General features: G+C 55.1%; 1 protein-coding gene and 1 long non-coding RNA gene across 5 annotated transcripts in view, besides 6 other annotated features; both read left to right on the forward strand.

Moving 5' to 3' along the window:
* SPECC1L (sperm antigen with calponin homology and coiled-coil domains 1 like) overlaps window positions 1–12,876 on the forward strand; it is a 146,908-nt gene extending 134,032 nt beyond the window's left edge. For 3 of the 4 annotated variants that reach the window (NM_015330.6, NM_001145468.4, NM_001254733.2), the window contains 3 exons: window positions 6,726–6,842; window positions 7,786–7,845; window positions 9,672–12,876. In NM_015330.6, coding sequence (NP_056145.5) covers window positions 6,726–6,842; window positions 7,786–7,845; window positions 9,672–9,761 — 267 coding nt within the window. In that variant the 3' untranslated portion in view covers window positions 9,762–12,876. The remainder of the gene's footprint in view (window positions 1–6,725; window positions 6,843–7,785; window positions 7,846–9,671) is intronic. The other variant, NM_001254732.3, reaches the window with a different exon arrangement.
* SPECC1L-ADORA2A (SPECC1L-ADORA2A readthrough (NMD candidate)) overlaps window positions 1–17,390 on the forward strand; it is a 171,544-nt gene that overhangs the window by 134,046 nt on the left and 20,108 nt on the right. The window contains 3 exon segments of the long non-coding RNA NR_103546.1: window positions 6,726–6,842; window positions 7,786–7,845; window positions 9,672–9,882. This is a non-coding gene — a long non-coding RNA (SPECC1L-ADORA2A readthrough (NMD candidate)).
* Window positions 3,527–4,028: an enhancer, noted in NCBI's record as "H3K4me1 hESC enhancer chr22:24804357-24804858 (GRCh37/hg19 assembly coordinates)". NCBI's record gives its function as "activates a minimal SCP1, AML or CMV promoter by ChIP-STARR-seq in naive H9 embryonic stem cells {active_cell/tissue: H9 hESC(naive)}" and the evidence as "EXISTENCE:reporter gene assay evidence [ECO:0000049][PMID:30033119]".
* Window positions 4,029–4,528: an enhancer, noted in NCBI's record as "H3K4me1 hESC enhancer chr22:24804859-24805358 (GRCh37/hg19 assembly coordinates)". NCBI's record gives its function as "activates a minimal SCP1, AML or CMV promoter by ChIP-STARR-seq in naive H9 embryonic stem cells {active_cell/tissue: H9 hESC(naive)}" and the evidence as "EXISTENCE:reporter gene assay evidence [ECO:0000049][PMID:30033119]".
* Window positions 12,806–12,982: a silencer, noted in NCBI's record as "fragment chr22:24813636-24813812 (GRCh37/hg19 assembly coordinates)". NCBI's record gives its function as "represses an EF-1alpha promoter that drives an FKBP-Casp9 reporter gene in an ReSE screen in phorbol 12-myristate 13-acetate-treated (for megakaryocytic differentiation) K562 erythroleukemia cells {active_cell/tissue: K562(+PMA)}" and the evidence as "EXISTENCE:reporter gene assay evidence [ECO:0000049][PMID:32094911]".
* Window positions 13,493–14,102: an enhancer, noted in NCBI's record as "H3K27ac-H3K4me1 hESC enhancer chr22:24814323-24814932 (GRCh37/hg19 assembly coordinates)". NCBI's record gives its function as "activates a minimal SCP1, AML or CMV promoter by ChIP-STARR-seq in naive H9 embryonic stem cells {active_cell/tissue: H9 hESC(naive)}" and the evidence as "EXISTENCE:reporter gene assay evidence [ECO:0000049][PMID:30033119]".
* Window positions 15,321–15,930: an enhancer, noted in NCBI's record as "H3K27ac-H3K4me1 hESC enhancer chr22:24816151-24816760 (GRCh37/hg19 assembly coordinates)". NCBI's record gives its function as "activates a minimal SCP1, AML or CMV promoter by ChIP-STARR-seq in naive H9 embryonic stem cells {active_cell/tissue: H9 hESC(naive)}" and the evidence as "EXISTENCE:reporter gene assay evidence [ECO:0000049][PMID:30033119]".
* Window positions 16,541–17,150: an enhancer, noted in NCBI's record as "H3K4me1 hESC enhancer chr22:24817371-24817980 (GRCh37/hg19 assembly coordinates)". NCBI's record gives its function as "activates a minimal SCP1, AML or CMV promoter by ChIP-STARR-seq in primed H9 embryonic stem cells {active_cell/tissue: H9 hESC(primed)}" and the evidence as "EXISTENCE:reporter gene assay evidence [ECO:0000049][PMID:30033119]".

A 17,390-nucleotide genomic window follows, 5' to 3' on the forward strand; every position in this document is an offset into this window, starting at 1 on the left:
CCTTTCCCACAGGCTGTCCCTAGATGTGTGGCCATGGCCACGTCCACCTGTGGATTCCATGCTGGGGCCACAGATTTTAGGGTGTCACTGTGTCTCCTGCTCTCCAACATGGAGGTTCCCCATTACTGTTAGTGGAAGAACACAACTCCAGGCCCTTCATTTTTCTGTTTGTATGCCAATCCTGATAAGATCTTTGCAGGCCTGCAGAAAACAAATCCACACACTGGTGGCCCCGGCCCTCCTGCTGGGGTGGAAAGCTCTGCCTTGTGGCATCCAAATGGCTTTGAAACAAGTTATTGTAGAGCATGCTTCCTACCGTTGTGTTTTGAGTGAGAACTTCCAGCAGCTGGGATTTCGAGCTAGTTTGTTATCTGAGTTCCTCATCCAAACCCCCTTAGAGAGAAGGGGAGAAGGAGGGAAGGAAGGAACCACACACCAGGGCACGTGGTATTGCTCCATGTGCAGCAACACATGGAGCAGTGGAGGCAGGTGGAGGTTTACAGGTCACATGAATATGATGAGGGTCAGCAGAATTGCGGCCACGTCCCCAGGAGCAGGGCTCCAGGTAGGAGCAGCCTAGGGACTTTCTCGGTGATTCTGTTGCGTGTTGGTGTCCTGGTTTGGATTCATGCCATCTGCAACACAGCAGCCATCTCCTCTACAGTAAGCAAACTAAACCCTAAAAATACCTTACAGGCTGGGCACGGTAGCTCACACCTGTAATCCCAACATTTTGGGAGGCTGAGGTGGACAGATCACCTGAGGTCAGGAGTTCGAGACCAGCCTGACCAACATGGTGAAACCTCATCTCTACTAAAAACACAAAAATTAGCCGGGCATGGTGGCGGGTGCTTACAATCCCAGCTACTCAGGAGGCTGATGCAGAGAATTGCTTGAACCCAGGAGGCGGAGCTTGCAGTGATTCGAGATTGCGCCACAGCACTCCAGCCTGGGCAACAGAGCGAGACTCTGCCTCAAAAAAAAAAAAAAAGTACTTTACATATGTAAAGCACATTACAGTTTCAGTAGGGGTCGAAGACTCGTCATCTTGTGTGGGCTGGGATTTCACTGAAGTCCAAGACAGCCAGGGTAGTGTGCCCAGGAAGTGTCAAACCTGGCTCAGACCCCTGTCCGCAAGCTTCATACTGGTGGTGGTGAGTTGTTTTTATCCAAGACATAAAAGCTTTAGCTTTTTTCCTCAATTGCCAAGAACATCCAGGGTGATTTTAGCCCTCCTGGGAAGGTAGGGATCATAAGTTCCAGGGGCCACCAATCCGCAGGCAGATTCACCTGTTGCCACCTTAGAAAGCAACAGAAAGTTTAGTTCCAGACCTCATGCAGATGGGGACAGAGCACCAGGCTGCTCCCAGGCTCTTCTGTGGGGTCCAGGCATGGAGCAGAGGCATGAGGGGCAGATGGCAAAAGGCAGGTCTGGGGGCCGCCTGCAGACACTTGATGAGGGCCCCAGGATCAGGGGAGGAGTGCTCAGCAGGCAGTAGGGAAGACAGGGCATGAACCCTTGCCCCAGGCATCCTGCGAGCAGTACCTCACTGTCATTCTCACAGTCATCCAGAGCAGTCTGGAAGGAGGCTGAGGCTCCAAGAGGCCAAGCACAGAGCTGGTCTGTGGGATCATTCTCCTCTCCCTGTGCTCCCCTGGCAGCCTGGAGCCCACTGTGGTCTGGGTTTGGGGATAGCTGGCGGGTTGTGTGCATGGTGGCGGCTGGCAGGTAGGGGGTGGAGAAGGCCTCACTGGGTGCTGGTCACACCTGCAGAGCAAAGGTCTTGACTGAGTGAGGAAGGGAGAAGCCATTTCTCTGGTGATTCCATGCGATTTTGTGTCGTTTCATGTGTTTCCTCTCCAAGATACTGATCCCGTCATAATATTAACGGGCCGTGGTGGCCGTGTGGAGGGGAGCTCCCCGCCTTCCTGCCTGGTGTTCTTGCACCGTGCCTTCCGAGAACCCAGCTTCGTTGTTCTTATAATTTAGTCAATATGACTTCATTAGCAGTTAGAGTTTTCAGCCTGGAACATTTCAAACCATGCAACAGCCAGTGACGTTGGGAGCAGAGGGCTGCGGGCTTCTTCCTCACTTCCCTGGAGGAACCCCTTTTTCAGAGCCCGGCTCATTCTCCCAACATGATCTCTGTGGATGGGGGAGGAAGCAGAGCAGCCAGTGGGCGCTCAAGCTTCACTTGGGCTCCCTACTTTCTGCCTCCAGCTTATCACATAGGGTGCCTTGGAGCCACGTGCAGCAGTCTGGCCTGGCTGCTCTCCAAACCTCCAAGGGTTAAGGGAGGTAGGGCCCCCAGCTAGCCTTCTTTTGGGCTTTACTTGTATTGATAGGAAATTTCGTTGTCAGGTACTCAAATGTGAACTTCCTCAGCCTGGAACTGAAGAAGCCATTGTTTTCTTCCCGGTTCAGGTCACTGTGGCATGCTTTGTAAAAGAAGTCTCTCTTCCCGGAGGTTCCAGGTGGGGCGGGGGTGCTGGAGCAGCAGCTTCTTCCCTGGCGGGGTGTTGGGTTTATCTTGAGGAAGCGGAGGGGGAAGGCTGGGGTTCCCACAGCCAGGCGGATGGGACACAGGAGCCTCTGCCTCGAGGCGCTGTGCAGTGGTGAGGCCAGGCACGTCCACGACCCTGCCAGAGCTGCCTGCGTTTCAGGGAGCAGAAGGGGCGGCTGCGGCAGGAAGTGAAGGTTTGTTTTCCTCCAGAAGTGAATGTGACCTCTGAGGGCCAGGCGTTGCCATTGGCCTCACACAGAGCTCCACACGTTATTAAGAAGCTTCCTGGCCCCCTCTCCCTGCAAGGATGCCTCTTTCATCAAGCACTTAGTCCCTTAGACCTGGCTCTTTTTTTTAGTACCTTTAATAGACTTTTTCCTCTGCATTTTGGACAAGGGGACCTTGCATTTTCATTTTGTAGTGGGCCCTGCAAATTACGGAGCAAGTGAGTCCTGGCCCATTCTTCATTTGTCTTGCATACTTCATTCCTGCCTCTTCTCTGTACCCTAATCCTAGACTTACTTCACTGTGGAAAGGTGCACAGGGCATTAGGAAATCTTACCTAGACAACTAAAGGAAAGCAGGCCCATCCTCCTATGATACACCTCACTTTGAATGATCCCAGAGACCAGCTGTGTGGCCTGGGTGAGTGTCTTGGCCTCTCGGAGCCTCACCCTCCTTCCAGACTGCTGCGGGTGGCTGTGAGAGTGAAAGTGAGTACTGCTCACAGGATGCCTAGGGCAAGGGTTCCTGTCCTGTCCTGTCTTCTCTGCCACCTGCCTAGCACTCCTCCCTGGTCCTAGTTTCCTCCCTAAAGAGCTGCTTTCTGAGATTCCAATGAGATCAAAGAGATGAGATTGCATGCGTGTGCGTGTGTTCAGGGGTCTTCAGTCAGCAGTAACTGTCAAGCCCTGTTTGCCACAAGGCACCTTCTTCATTAGGTCATCAGAACCCTTTATGGAGTGGTAACTGTTAAATCATGGCCAGAGCAGAGAGCCGCATGGAGGGCGGGCCAGGCCTCTTGGGAATGTAGCAGGTCTTACCCTCAGGACTGCATCTTCGTGGCCAGAAAGTGTGAGGACTACAGACTGAGGCAGAGAGGATTCTCACCTGGCCTAGGTATTTGGGGAGGACTGACATCAGTGGATGCCTGGTGGCACACATTTAGGTAGCCAGGTCAGACTGTCGGCACACCAGCCACCAGAGGCTTGCTGCCACCTTCCCCTGCGACTCTTGGCAGGTTTGCGTTTCCTCGTTCCTTAATCTGGTCACTTTCCTCACAGCAGTTTATAACAATATCTCTGGGTCATATCAGAGAAGCTGGAAGCAGCAGATGTTCAGGTTAATGAGAGGAAATGGCCTGTGAAAGTAACTCTTGGGTCTGCTGTCCTTTGGAAGGCTCATGCTTTGCACAGACACTGGAACGTTCTGGGCACGTGCAGTCAGAAGCCAGACAATACATTCTGATGATGCAGGTGATGAGAAGTCAGCCTCGTGATCCTCCACGTGGTCTGCTGCTGTGTAAGGACACCTGCCTAGAGCTGTGAGGCTGGACTGACGGTCTCCCTCGCAGGGGCGGCCTGCCCAGCCTGCTTTACTTGGGTCCTTGCTGGTTGGACACATCCTTGCAGCTCTGAGCCTGGGTTCCCATGGCCCCCACCTGCCCTTGTCTCTGAGCCAGGTCCCTGACTTGGTGTTAGGTCCTAACAGTATATAAAGAGGGGTCAGGATTCGTAAAGTGCTTTGTAAACTTTGTAAGATTCTGTACAGATATAGTTAATAATATAATGATAATAATAGTGTTAACATCATTCTGTGAATCACTCATTCCTGGGAGGAGTATAAAGTGCTCCCCAGGAGCTGGACGGTTTGCATTGAATAATAAAATTTGGGCTTTCTCAGTCCTAAAATAATAAAATTTTAGGAAGCTGGCTCTTGGTGCAGTTGAAGGTGGCGTGAAATAATGAAAGTGGGACATGGTGGTGGGGAGGTGTTCTTGTTCAGCTTGTGGTGTCTGCATAAAGTGTGAATTAGGAAAATTGAAATGTGTAGATTCATCTTCATAAGGACTGTTGCAAATAAGGGTAACGGCTACATACCAGCTGAATTGCAGAATATTTTATATGATAAAATACTCTGGGCCAGGTAAGGTGGATCACACCTGTAATCCCAGCACTTTGGGAGGCTGAGGTGGGAGGATTGCTTCAGCCCAGGAGTTCAAGGCTGCAGTGAGCTATGATTGTGCCACTGCACTCCAGCCTGGAGACAAAGTGAGATCCTGTCTCTTTAAAAAGTAATAATAAAAAATGAATTATATATTCCTTTTATAGTTACAAATACTTTAAAATATGGAATAAGGTGCCCCTTAAAAGAAAGTCAAGGCTGGGTACAGTGGCTCTTGCATGTAATTTCACTGCTTTGGAGGCTGAGGTGACATCGCTTGAGCTCAGGAGTTTCAGACCAGCCTGGGCGACATAGCGAAACCTCATCTCTACAAAAAAACAAACAAAATTAGCTGGACGTGGTAGCACGTACCAGCCTGTAGTCCCAGCTACTCAGGAGGCTGAGGTAGGATTGCTTAACCCCAGGAGGCCGTCAAGGCCGCAGTGAGTCAACTCCACTCCAGCTTGGGTGACAGAGAGACCCTGTCTCAAAAAATTTTAAAAAGTTGAGGTGGTTCACCAAGAGGTGGCATGGAGAGCACATAGCCGGCCTTAATCGGCTCCTAATGCAAGATGGGGGCTGTCAGATGATGACACCTTCAAGTTACAGAGGTGTTTTGGTTTGTGGTTTGTGTGTTTTTTCGGAGATGGGGGGGATCTCACTGTGTTGGCAGGCTGGGGTGTAATGGCTGTTCACAGGCACAGTCATACCATGCTGCAGCCCTGAACTCCTGGGCTCAAGGGATCCTCCCGCCTCAGCCTCCTGAGTAGCTGGGACCACAGGCGCATGCCTGGCAGCAAATTGCAGAGGTTTTTGATGGACTGCAAGTCTTAGCTTAGAGTCCCTGATCTGGGAGGTCAGGCTGAGTCATAACTTTTCTTAACAGAACAGCCCTGCCCCACTCCTGTGCCCCATGCTTCTTTCTCCCTGGCAGAGTTGAGGCTACAGCCTGCAGGGCTGAGGAGCCCTGTACTCATCCCACCTCCCCACACCAGACACTAAAAAGACCAATGCACAGAGGATCGAGGCATTTAATCAGACCACTAAATTGCCTCATCAAAGACATCTTTAAGCGAAACCTGTATTTTCAGATTACTTTTTTTTAACCACAAGTTTGTGGTGGGGTACACTATAGCAATCTCCAGTACATGTGGTGCGTGGCCTGGACCAATGCTCAGGGGGCCACGTTGTTGCTCTCCTTGGCTTCTCACCATCCATCAGAGCAGGTGTCATTACAGTGAAAAGGGCAGAAGGTATCTTCATGTGTGGGCGCACTTTGAGATACACCCTGACTTGGAGGATCTTTGACATGCTTCAACAACCAATGGAGAATGAGTTGCATTTTAATACATGGTGCTTTAAAGGTCATTGATTACCGGCCAGGTGCGGTGGCTCACACCTATAATCCCAGCACTTCGGGAGGCCAAGGCGGGTGGATCACAAGGTCAAGAGATTGAGACCATCCTAGCTTACAGTGAAACCCTGTCTCTACTGAAAATACAAAAAAAAATAGCCGGGTGTGGTGGCACATGCCTGTAGTCCCAGCTACTCGGGAGGCTGAAGCAGGAGAAATCACTTGAACCCGGGAGGTAGAGGTTGTAGTGAGCCGAGATCATGCCACTGCACTCCAACCTGGTGACAGAGTGAGACTCCATCTCAAACAAACAAACCAAAAAAAACAAAAAACAAAAAAGGGGGGGTCATTGATTACCACCCACATCCTCTGGTCTGTACTGTCACCCCAACAGGTCATGGTAGAGGCCAGCTTCAGCAGCCTAGGGTCCTCTCTTTGTATGCAACAGCTAGTAAGTCAGCAAGACGCCACGTGTTATACCAGGCCCAGGCGTGACCACGTAGGGGCAGCCATCTACAGCTGGTGGGTGGGACGGGTTGGGGAGTCATAGATACCAGGTAGCCCTTGGACACAGCCGCCCTGCCCTGGTTTTGGTTTTGTGTTTTGGAGGCCATGCAGCATCTGAGGCCTCCTGCGTCCTCCTTGGCATCTCCTAAGAGGGTCCCAGCATGTGTTGGTTACATGTTTTTCTTCCTTTCCTTCAGAATATTGACATTACAAACTTCAGCAGCAGCTGGAATGATGGGCTGGCCTTCTGTGCCCTCCTGCATACATATCTCCCTGCCCACATTCCATATCAAGAACTGAACAGCCAGGATAAGGTAGGCCATGGAGGGCCAGCTCCTGGCACCCACCTCACAGGGTTGGAGGGCTGAGAACCAAGGGCAGCACCTGCCTCAGCAGGTCACATGCCACAGCGCTGGCTTGCGATTGCCTCGTGCCATCTGGGTCTTCTGGGATCAGGTCATTCATGCTGAGCCCACCAGTCCCTGTCCCACCTTGTGTGGAGTATTTGGTTGGTTCAGAATTCCCCAAGTGATATCATTCCTAGTGGGAGCAGCCAGTCCTTCCTGAGTGACTACATTTAGGATGAAGAGCTTCACCAGGAGGGGCCCAAGAAGCTCCGTGAAGGCAGGAGTAGTCAGGCAGTGCTGACCAGGCCAGGCCAGCCTCCTGCCACCTTGAGGAGGGCTGTCACTCCATAGCCCATTCTGCACTGTGGGCCTTAGAACTGGCAAGAAACACCAACCCTGTGCACTCCAGGGCATGGTTTAATGTTTCATCCAGATAGTTCCTTGGGGACAGGGTCAGGGAAGAAGCCCTACCCAGAGGGCCACTGGAGAGGATCCAGGCCCGCAGCCCCCACCCCAGTCCCCTGCTTCCCCCATGTCAGCCCCCAGCCCTGCAGACAACCCTCGAAGATCCCTGTGGGGGAAGCTCATTTGATGAGTGTTCCTAACTAGCTTTTGGGGGTGCGTGTTCAGGTGCCACAGCATTGGTGCGGCAGAAGTAGGATTCTTCAGGAGTGAGGAAAGAACGGGTGTTGGTGGGTCACTGCAGCAGGTCAGGAGGGGAGGGTGGCCGGGCCTAGTGCAGGGTACTTGGTGCAGATGCAGAAGCTCAGGCTCCCAGCATAGGTTTGTTGTGGCACCAGGTAGAGGTGAGTGTCGTCCTTCAGATGCATCTGTCCCAGGCAGTTGTGGAGGCCACGTGACTTTCTCTGTGCCTTGTTCATGCACTGCAGTGACACAGTTTCTTTTACAGAGAAGGAACTTCATGCTGGCTTTCCAGGCAGCTGAAAGTGTCGGCATCAAATCCACACTGGTGAGCCCTTGTCCCCCTGAGTCACTGGCAGGGCCCTCCTTCTGGTTAAGAAGAGTTCAGTCCTGTTTAAGCTGAATCCTCGTGGGCATGGGGTAGTGTGGCTGCCTGGTAAAAGGCAGCTATGGGGTGCTCTGGGGCCAAGGGAGGGTCCCGTCAAGGGTGGGTGCAGATGTGGGATCTTGTGTCCTGGCCCCCAGCACTTTTATCTCACGTGAAACACCCTAAGGATGCCCCCTGAAAGGGTGGGAGGCCTGAGACCATGGGCCCAGCCAACCTTCCCTGGGACGGCTCTTTGCAGTCATCTCTTCCATAAGGGAGTCCCTCAGGTTAAAAGAAAAATGTCATATGTTTATAAATCTCGCTGTCAAAAACACCACACCAGCAGGTCCATCTGCCTTGTTCATCTAGAGCGAGAGGGCAAGGCAGCTCTCAGCCAAGGCAGGCGGCTTTAGAGGCTGGACCGGGGAGGCTCCTGCACTTCCTCGTGATGGTGTGGGTAGCCGCCACTCACAGGACAGAAGTGTGGAAACCCGGCGTGTTCTCAGGTTCTTTAGGCCTCTCACGCTTCTACCTTGCCGAGCCCAACTTTCCGGGAGAAAACATAGCGTCCAAATCCAAAGCCAAAACTTCTACACCCAGAGACGCTTTTATTAAGTGAACTGAGTGCCGCAGCCTCACATGGGACACACAGACCATCGGGATTTTCAGAAAGGGCGGAGAGCCCACAGGCCAGTCCAAGCCCCAAACAGTCCTAGATCTGGGGCCCTCCAGGGTCACCTCCCCATCCCCGTGCCCCCAGCCTAACTTGTAGCAGCTGGAGGTGCTGTGAAGAAGTGTTTACGCCCATGTTCACTCATTAGAGTCTTCATGCCACAGGTGCATCTAAATCCCTAGAAATGTGCATTTTTTAGGGTGGCCTCTGTTCACCTGTACAGGGAAAAATAAGTTAAATATTCCCCCATTCCTGGATATTTTACAACACGTGTAAAGTTCCAATATATAAAAAAAGCAGGCCTTTTTCCCACCCTCAAAAGCTTCTATAGTCAAGATTCTTGCATTGAACAGGCAGGTTTTCGTTTTCTGCATCAAGTCACCAAGGGCGCCCTCCTGATCCTGCGTGCTCAGCCACACGTCCTGTGCTCGTCACCCATGGGAAGGGAAGGATCTCTCAGGCCGGCCCCTTGGGTCACTCCCCGAGCCTTCAGCAGCAGCAGTGTGTCACTTTTTGAGGCCTTCTGTCTCGTGTTAAAGGCTGTGAGACACTGGAGTGAGGTGGGGGTGGGTCCACGGTTTCCCAAGTTTATTTTCCTAGAACATCAGTTCACCGGTCACAGGTCACTGGCGTTCAGCAGAGCACAGTTACAGAGCAGAGTCTTGGATGATTTCAGACTGTTGCCCATGGTGAAGGCCGTCAGAGTGTTGGTTCTGGGAGCCCCCGACAGAGAGAAATTCTCCTAGGCCAGTGCCTGGGGCTGAGAAGGGCTCTCAGAAGGGTCCCCCAAGGAGTGGTTTAAGAAGAGAGGCAGGCGCGGGGAGGAGGGAGGAAGTTCCTCCGCCCAGACTGGATGAAACCCTTCCCATCCTGCAGAGCCGTGAGCAGGGAGGCACCTTGCCTGTGGCTCTGGGGCAGGGGTGGATGGCCTGGGGACGATGCTGATGCCCAGGGAGGAAGCATTCTTGGCCAGGCTTTAAAAATGTGTAATTAGGCCTAGAAAATATTTCAAGGCCCCATCCAACTCCAAGAGCCCATGTTGCTATGGCAGAGCCCATTGGCACAGCCTGGAGGTGACCTGCAGTTCTAACCAAGCGTCTTCCTTGTCTGTCAGGACATTAATGAAATGGTACGGACTGAACGACCCGACTGGCAGAACGTGATGCTGTATGTGACGGCGATCTACAAGTACTTTGAGACCTGAGCATGCCGGGAGGAGCCGCCCCAATAGCGGGGGTACCCCTCCACAGCGACCGAGCGACACCGACGCCATTAGCTACGCACCCCTGTAAAGCTTCCAGCAACTCTGGGCTGCCCCACAGCGTGTGAGCCTCCAGCTCGGGGCTTCCGTATTGGAAGAACTCAGCCGTGTGGCCCACAGCTCCCACCAGGGCCCCTCCCACATGACCCGTCCATTCAGGTCATGTGGGCTCAGCACACATCCTGCAGGCCGGTGGCTGCTGGAGTTTTCCTTCTGAAGAGAATATTGAACTACACTAGTGCTCCAGGGCACCAAACAAAAAGGGCTCATGCACAGCTGAATTTGGGAAAAGGGATTCAGTTCTGTGGGAAACTCACTAGGGTTGATGAAGGCTCGGCCGCGGCACTTCCTGACTATTGGCTGGGGTGGGTTCCGGTGCTGGTGAGAACCCAGAAGGAGAGTCAGCGCCTGGCAGTTCCCAGCGCCCTGGGCCCTTCACCGTCCTAGTTTGGAGGAGCATGTTCACCACAGACGTGGGTCAGCTGCCCCACACCTGACGGGGCTGTCCCGGCCGACACAATCCAGGCGTGTTCAGCCTGAGCTAGGAGAGTATCTAGAGGGCGTGGTGCGGGCACGCCAGGGCTGGGGTGCTGCTGCTGCACTCACGCGGCTGGGCTTTCTGGCGGGAAGCAGTTACGGGGGCCCCTTGCCTGGACTCAGCGACCTGTCTTCCAGCCTGGAAGGGGTTTGGAGTCCCAGCTCTGGCTTTAGATTTCTTCATCATAAGGAGTTTTTCTAGTTAACATTTTTGTTTTGTTACGAGCAATGCTGGAAAAGGTCGCTCCTGTTCTGTTAGTACCAAAGTTACATTGTTTCAATAAGCATAGAAATCTAAACAACATCTGTACATTAGCATGGTGAGAGCAAGGAATAAAGCAGGAAATAGGAGAAAAGTAAACAACTTTAGGGAGCCCAGGCAGTGTCATTTAAACTCACTGAGTCACTAAGACATAATTCTCCTAGGCCAGAGTTAAAGAAAGTGCCTTAACTCTTCTTGTGAGGGCAGCCACTGCCCTCCGTGGCCAAGGCAGGACCTCCAAGACTCAGTGGTTGAGTTGTCTCCTACCACCATGCCCGCCCTCCCCAGGTACTGGGTCCATGCCCCCTGTGCCCACCCTCCCCAGGTGCTGGGTCCATGCTGTTTGAACCAAAGCCTTATTTAAAGGTGGTCACTGGAGATGCTCTCAGGCCAGAACTCAACAGCTATTTTTGGGAATAGGGATCTCCCGTGTGCCTAACGCAGTAGCTATTGGTTTGAACAATGTCCAGACAAGACCTGTACCTTTGAGAATATAACTGTGTTTGGCACCTGCATAGCACCATGAGGAAGACCAGCCACCAGTGGAAGCGGGGTCACTGCCCCACAGACTGGATGCAATGAGGGGCTCACAGGAGGCCCAGCCAGCCCGATTGTGGGCTGAGGGGTCTGCATTCAAGCACGATGTTCTAGAATAGGAGTTTAACGTGTCTACGTAACCTAGAATGTGGTTATTAGGAAAGGGGCTGTGCATGTGGGTGCAGCTGGCGGCACACCTGGTCACCAGATGGCCAGAAGCTGCCCATCAGCCCTGCCCAGATGTCAGCCTGGGAGCTCAGGCTGCTGCCGCTGGCTGGATGCCCTTTGGTGAAATGCCTGTTTTCAGCTAAGAAAGGAGAGGCCAGGCAAGCAAAGTCATGCCACAAAGCATATCAGAGACCCCCGCAGACTCCTGGCCCCGTCCCGCCCCCTGTCTGAGTTGTGTTTTTGTTGCTGTTCCTCTGTTGATGGCCAGCTCTGCTGTTGGCATGAGCCACTGATGTTCATGTGAGAATTACTGTTTTTAAGTGTCTCTCCACTTAGGTGTCCTCAGTTCCCACTTTTGCTCTCATTTGCCTTCACAGAGGCCACTCCACCTGTCCGGATCCAGCTGTCTGGTCATGGTTTGGTTTATTTATTTTGTCCTTCAGGGGCTGTTTTGCCCTAAGAATGAGGGGGCTTCCCCTGGTCTGCAGTTCCCAACTTTATCCCTTGCTGGCCATGCGAGCCCAGCCCTGGTGCCTCATGGGATGGGGGGGTAGGGGTCCCCAGGATCTTCTGGAGGAAGGTGGCCATGGATGGATGGGCTGTATCTGTGTTTTCCCTCTGGGAGTCTCATGGGTCCAGCATCAGGCCTGAGGTCAGCAACAGGGAAAGAGGGTGGGCACGGGGAGGGCTTGGCCCCGCCTATCTAGAGGCTTGCCTCGGGCCCCTCCTTGGGGAAGGTTTGCGTGCAGAGCTGCAAGGGAGAGGGTTCCAGAAGCATTGCCTTTTGCCTCGTCTAATAGGATCCTTAGGACACTGTGGGCTTTAGGAATGACTATAGATGCTCACACGTGTTTAAAGTGACATTTGGAGATGCTCTCAGTCCTGTGGCATCTGGCACGAAGTCTCCAAGAAGCCACTTTGCCTCTTCTCCCTTCAAGCACAAGCTTTACTGCAAAAGGGCCAGTCGCGTTTCTATTTCTCTCGATCCCAGGCTTCTGCGGACCGACGATACGTTTAAATGTTGTTCTAGTAAATATTCTTGAATGTATTAAAATGGCTGAAACAACAAGCTTGGGCTTTTCTAGCTTGCCCTCCACTCCCTGCCGTCCCTCTGACGTCGCATAAACCAGAACCCAGCTCCCTCCTGGGACTGGCTGTGGAGAGAAGGGCACCTCTGAGCCAGCCTGTGGCCCTACCCCAAGGCGCACTTCCTCATGTGGGCAGATCCTGACCAGGAGTCCAGGGTGGCCTCCCCTGGGCCACAGCACATCACCGTGTGGCCTGGGGCTGTGGGACAGTGAGCCCTGTAACCACTAGGGTTCTGTGACAGATGCCAAGACCCCAGAGACCGTGGCAGAGCTACCCCCAGGAGAGCGGAAGCCCCTACACAGCCCAGACACATGCCTTCCCTGGGGGCTGGGGAGTGTGTCTCGAGGGGTTTTGTTTGTTTTGAGGCATGTATCATCTTGGAAATAATTGTCAGGATGTATAAAATAGAGAAAAAGAAAAAAGGTATCCTACCCAGAGGCAACCAGATAAACTTTTTTGCCTGTGCATTGTTTTTTGTTGGTTTTTTCGAGACGGGGTCGATCACGGCTCACCACAGCCTTAACCTCCAGGGCTCCAGCAATCCTCCCACCTCAGCCTCCTGAGTAGCTGGGACCACAGGTGTGTGCCACCATCTCCAGCAGTTTGTTTATTTATTTTTTCTTTTTTTTTTTTTGGTAGAAATGGGCTTTTCGCCATGTTGCCCAAGCTGGTCTTGCACTTCTGGGCTGAAGCAATCCTCTCGCCTTGGCCTCCCAGAGCCTTGGGATTACAGGTGTGAGTCACTACAGTGATTGTGAATGCACTGAGCTGGCCTGGAGAACACTTACCACCTTGTCCACGTCACATGCAAAAGGCCCATGGTGGTGGTGCTTCCTGCACACGAGGGCATGTAGTGAATGCCCTTCCCAGGTGGAGACTCCTCAGGGTTGGGAGCCCAGCAACTGCCTTGGCCCTGAGTAAGCCAGGAGTTGCACTGTGACCTGCAAGTGCTTGGGAGCTGCACCCCTGGGTGCCAACAGCTGCAGGTACCCTGGGGTGGGCAGTGGGCAACAGCTGTAGAGCTGGGAGCTGGGCGTGAAAGGACTGGGGCAGGACTGGGCTTGGACTCAGCTCCTCCCTGCTCAGCAGCCCCTTCGTTGTGTCCTCTGCTGTGCGGAAGGGGTTCTGCCCTAGTGGTCAGCAAGCATCCATGGAGCCTGCCGGGCGGGCCCTGTGTGCAGCGGCCTCCACACGTCAGCAGGGGACTGCCGTCCCTGCCAGCGCACCTGGGCCTTGTCCTGGGCAGCACAGACCCCTTAGCCACCACTCCCAGGTGGGGCGGTCACTCCCAGATCCTCCATCCGTCCCGCCTGCAGTGCAGCTGCCTTGGATGCTGATTAGGGTGGCCCTGAGGGGATCCTTCTGTCCCAAGTTACGGGCCTGCGGGGCCCGTCCACAGTGCTGTGCCCCTCAATTTGGAGCTGGCTCTGCTGCTTCCCAGGGCAGCACCTATGGGGAGGGCATCGTTTATACCTTGACTCAAAGTTCCAGGATCTCAGGGACAGCTTAATAGGTGGAAGGGGGAAGCTGTGAGATTCCAGGGAGAGTGGAGAGATTCCAGGGAGAGTGGAGAGATTCCAGAAGGATCCCTTACACCCCTCCAGCACCCTCAAGGGCCTGCGGTCCTGTGCCCAGACGCCACGCCCTGCCCCAGCAGCCCTGCCTGGCCAGCTCTATGGCCCCAGCCCCACGGGGCCGGCACTTCGTGCAACCTCGGGGTAGCCTGGGTTCTATTTTAGGTTGTCCCTTAGGTGAGGGACCGGGGCAGACAGAACCAGTCTCAACATGCTCGCAGCCACTTCCCCGTACATCAGGTGAGTGAGGACAGACTCCTGGGTTGCTGAGATTCGGGGATCTGGATTCTGGCAGGAGCTTTGACCCCAACAGGTCTGGACCTTACTGGGCATCTACAGGAGCTGGGCCGGGCACAAGAGAGGACTCCATCTCTCCTGCCTGACAGGAGAGGACTCCACCTGACCAGCCCTCTCAGGCTGGGAGTGCCTCGGGGAGCCTGCTGTGAGGCAGGGGGAGGGGTGCGGAGAGACCGGGCACAGCTTGCCAGTTGACTGCACCAGGCCCAGAGCAGGTGCTGAAAGGTCTGGTCTTTTGTCTGCACCCTCCCGTGTTTGTGAGGAAGGGGTGGCAGGGGGTCTGCAGTCTTAAGGGCCAAGCAGAAAAGAAGGGCCAAGGCAGGCACCCACCAGGCAGGAAGCAGGTGTGCCCTGAGGGGAAGGACAGGCCATCGCAGGGCTGGGTTGCACCCAAGACTTCTGCCAGGAAGAGCACTGAGGAGTCGGGACACACAGGTCCTCCCCAGGTCAGCCACCGACACTTGGGATGTGCTGGGCTTGTTTCCACCTCTGCAAAGCAGGGCCCCCTTCTGGGCCCTCATATCAGGCACTCTGACATGGGGTACAGTCCTGGCAGGTCATGGGGCTGGGGCCACAGGGAGAGCGGGCAGGTGGCTTAGAGCCATCGGGGTGATGAGTGGCAAGCCCCGGCATGAGGGCTGCAGAGGACTGTCACTGCCCACGCTGGAGCCAGGGCTCCACTCCCCTCAGGGCCTGCTTTCACATCTACGCCGATCATCCCCAAGGCCGGGTTGCTAGCGGGTTGCTGTTTGTCCTGACACCCAGAAGCAGATATGGGGTGAACATCTTGAGTGGGGTGGGGTGAGTTGGAGGATGATGACCAGTGACTCGGAGATCACTTCCTCCGTATGTTTCTTCTGCCTTTGCAGGACCTCTGTTAGGATAAACTGGAGCCTTGTGAGGTCCCTGCCCCATTGGAGAAGTTGGGGAGCACCCAGGGTGACCCAGTTGGTTTCCAGGGACCCTTCCCCTGCTCACTGGCTGCTTGTCCTGGGCCTGGCATGTCTTGCTCCTGATGCAGCTCAGCTGGCCTCAGAGCAAACAATGAGGGCCAGAGGCCACCAGGTGCATCCTGGGCAGGAACAAAGGGCCGGAATCCTGGAGCTGGGGAGGCCCAGCTGGCCCCGCCGCCGCCGGGCCTGAGGATCTGGAGCCTGGATGGAAGGAAGGGTGGGCGCCCACAGCCTTTTCAAAGCCTGCCTGGGGCTGGGCAGGGAAACCAACGCCTGGAGCCAGAAGCTGGGGCCTGCCAGGGGCCTCCCCGTGCCCACCAAAGGGCAGTGGTTGCAATTGGAGAGCTTCTGCCCCTCAGCCTTGTTGCTCCCTTGGGCCTGGGGGTGGGGGAGGCGGGCAGCCCAGGCACCTGCACAGGGACCTCCCCCAGCCCCACAGCCTTGGTATCTGAGGACAGCACTCAGCTGAGGTGGGTACGGGGCTGGCAAGGGGGCAGCAAGGCCAAGACTGAGGAGGTGGCCTTAAGGCACGTGGTGCCGAGAACACAGGCCCCTCCCTGGAGAAGACAAGCTGGCTTGTGGGGCAGGCAGTTTGGGGACAGCCCTGCCAGGTGCCGTTCCCCATCCCTGAACTGGACAGCTTGGCCTGTGCCGTCTCTGGGCAATGGCAGCGCTGGAGACCTGGGCCAAAGCACCTGACAGATGACACAGGACCGCGGGGCTCTCTGCCTCTGAAGGGCCAGGGAGGAGCCCAGTAGGGGAAGGGTGGGGGCCTGGCCTGAGCCGGCCCATCACAGCCTCCTTGGCACTGGCTCCTCATGGGTGGCTGTGGGGACTGTGGAGCTGGCTCTGGGGCTGGAGCCACTCCAGGCCCTGCCTGACCACCCCCTGGCCTCAGGACACAGTTCCACCGGCGCCACTGCTGAGGAATGGAGGAACTGCCCCTTGAGCCCTAGAGGTGAATGTTAAGGGCTTTGGCACTGTGACCCTGAGGACCAGCTTTGGAACAAAGCCATCACTCCCTGCGTGAGGACGTTGCGGCTGCAACCCTCCTGCTGTGGGACTGGGGTGCACATGGCTAGACCATGCATGGGAAGGTCCACGCAGGAAGGTTGCGGGCCCCAGGATGGGAATGGCAGAGGAGTCATTGGGGTCCACACTGGGGGACGAGACAGACCCTCAGAATCGGCTGAGGGCTGGTTTCTGCCTCGTGAGCCCCCTGAGCCCCTCAGGAAGACTCAGGACGCTCCGTGCATGTTTGCTGAGTAAGGGCTTGAATGAATCTGGGTCCAGCAGGTGTGGGCGGGAGGGGTTTGTCCCCACTAGAGGAGAGGTTTTACCTCGTGGAGAGCCCCAGAAGCAAGGATGGGGGGGCCAAGGATGGGGCCAAGGGAGGGCCCCATGGCCGTCAGCATCCCTCACCCCTACCTTGTGGTTTGACTTAACCTCCAGGAGGGGGCAGGGCAGACACAAGATACTCATTTTACAGGTGAGGATATGGGTCCTGGAAGGTCTGCAGGGAAGCCCCTGCCGCTGGTCCCAGGGCGGTGTCCCCACCTGGAGGGGGAGCTCCTCCACTGAGGAAAGCCAGGGCCATGGGAGAAGGCGAGCTCCTTTGAATAGAGGGTCAGCAAAGGCCAGGATGACAGAGAGGGGGGCACCAGGGCCAGGTCTCCTTGGAAAGACCTGGGGACAGCGCCCCAAGAGTCTCATGTGGGTCTCGCCCTTCGGAGTTTAACTCAAGCTGTCTAGGTCCCCACACATCCCAGGGTTTCCTCCTCCACCTTGGACATTAGGGAACACAAGGACCAGGAGAGCCGGGCTAGTTGAATGGGAACGGGGGCCCAGGCTTCGATCCCAGGAATAAGCCAGGGAGGCTGCCAGATGCTCAAGGCTGCATCTGGGTAAGCAATGGTCACTGCCATGGGCCCCATGCTTCTCCTAACACACTGGCCAGGTGCCTGTGTGCCCATTTCCCACCCACCCTCTCCTCCCTGCAGTGAGTGGTAGCTGCTGTGATAGAGGTCATGCCCCCATTCTGCCTTCAGCCTTAGGGTCCAGCCTGGCCCTGGGCAAGCCCCTCCACCCTGGGCCTCTAGCCAGGACCCCACTGGTCCCCAGAGGTTCTAGAATGCAAGGATTCCCAAAAGCCTTT

This window comes from Homo sapiens, chromosome 22 (assembly GCF_000001405.40).
Source record: "Homo sapiens chromosome 22, GRCh38.p14 Primary Assembly".
In the NCBI taxonomy this organism is placed as follows: Eukaryota; Metazoa; Chordata; class Mammalia; order Primates; family Hominidae; genus Homo; species Homo sapiens.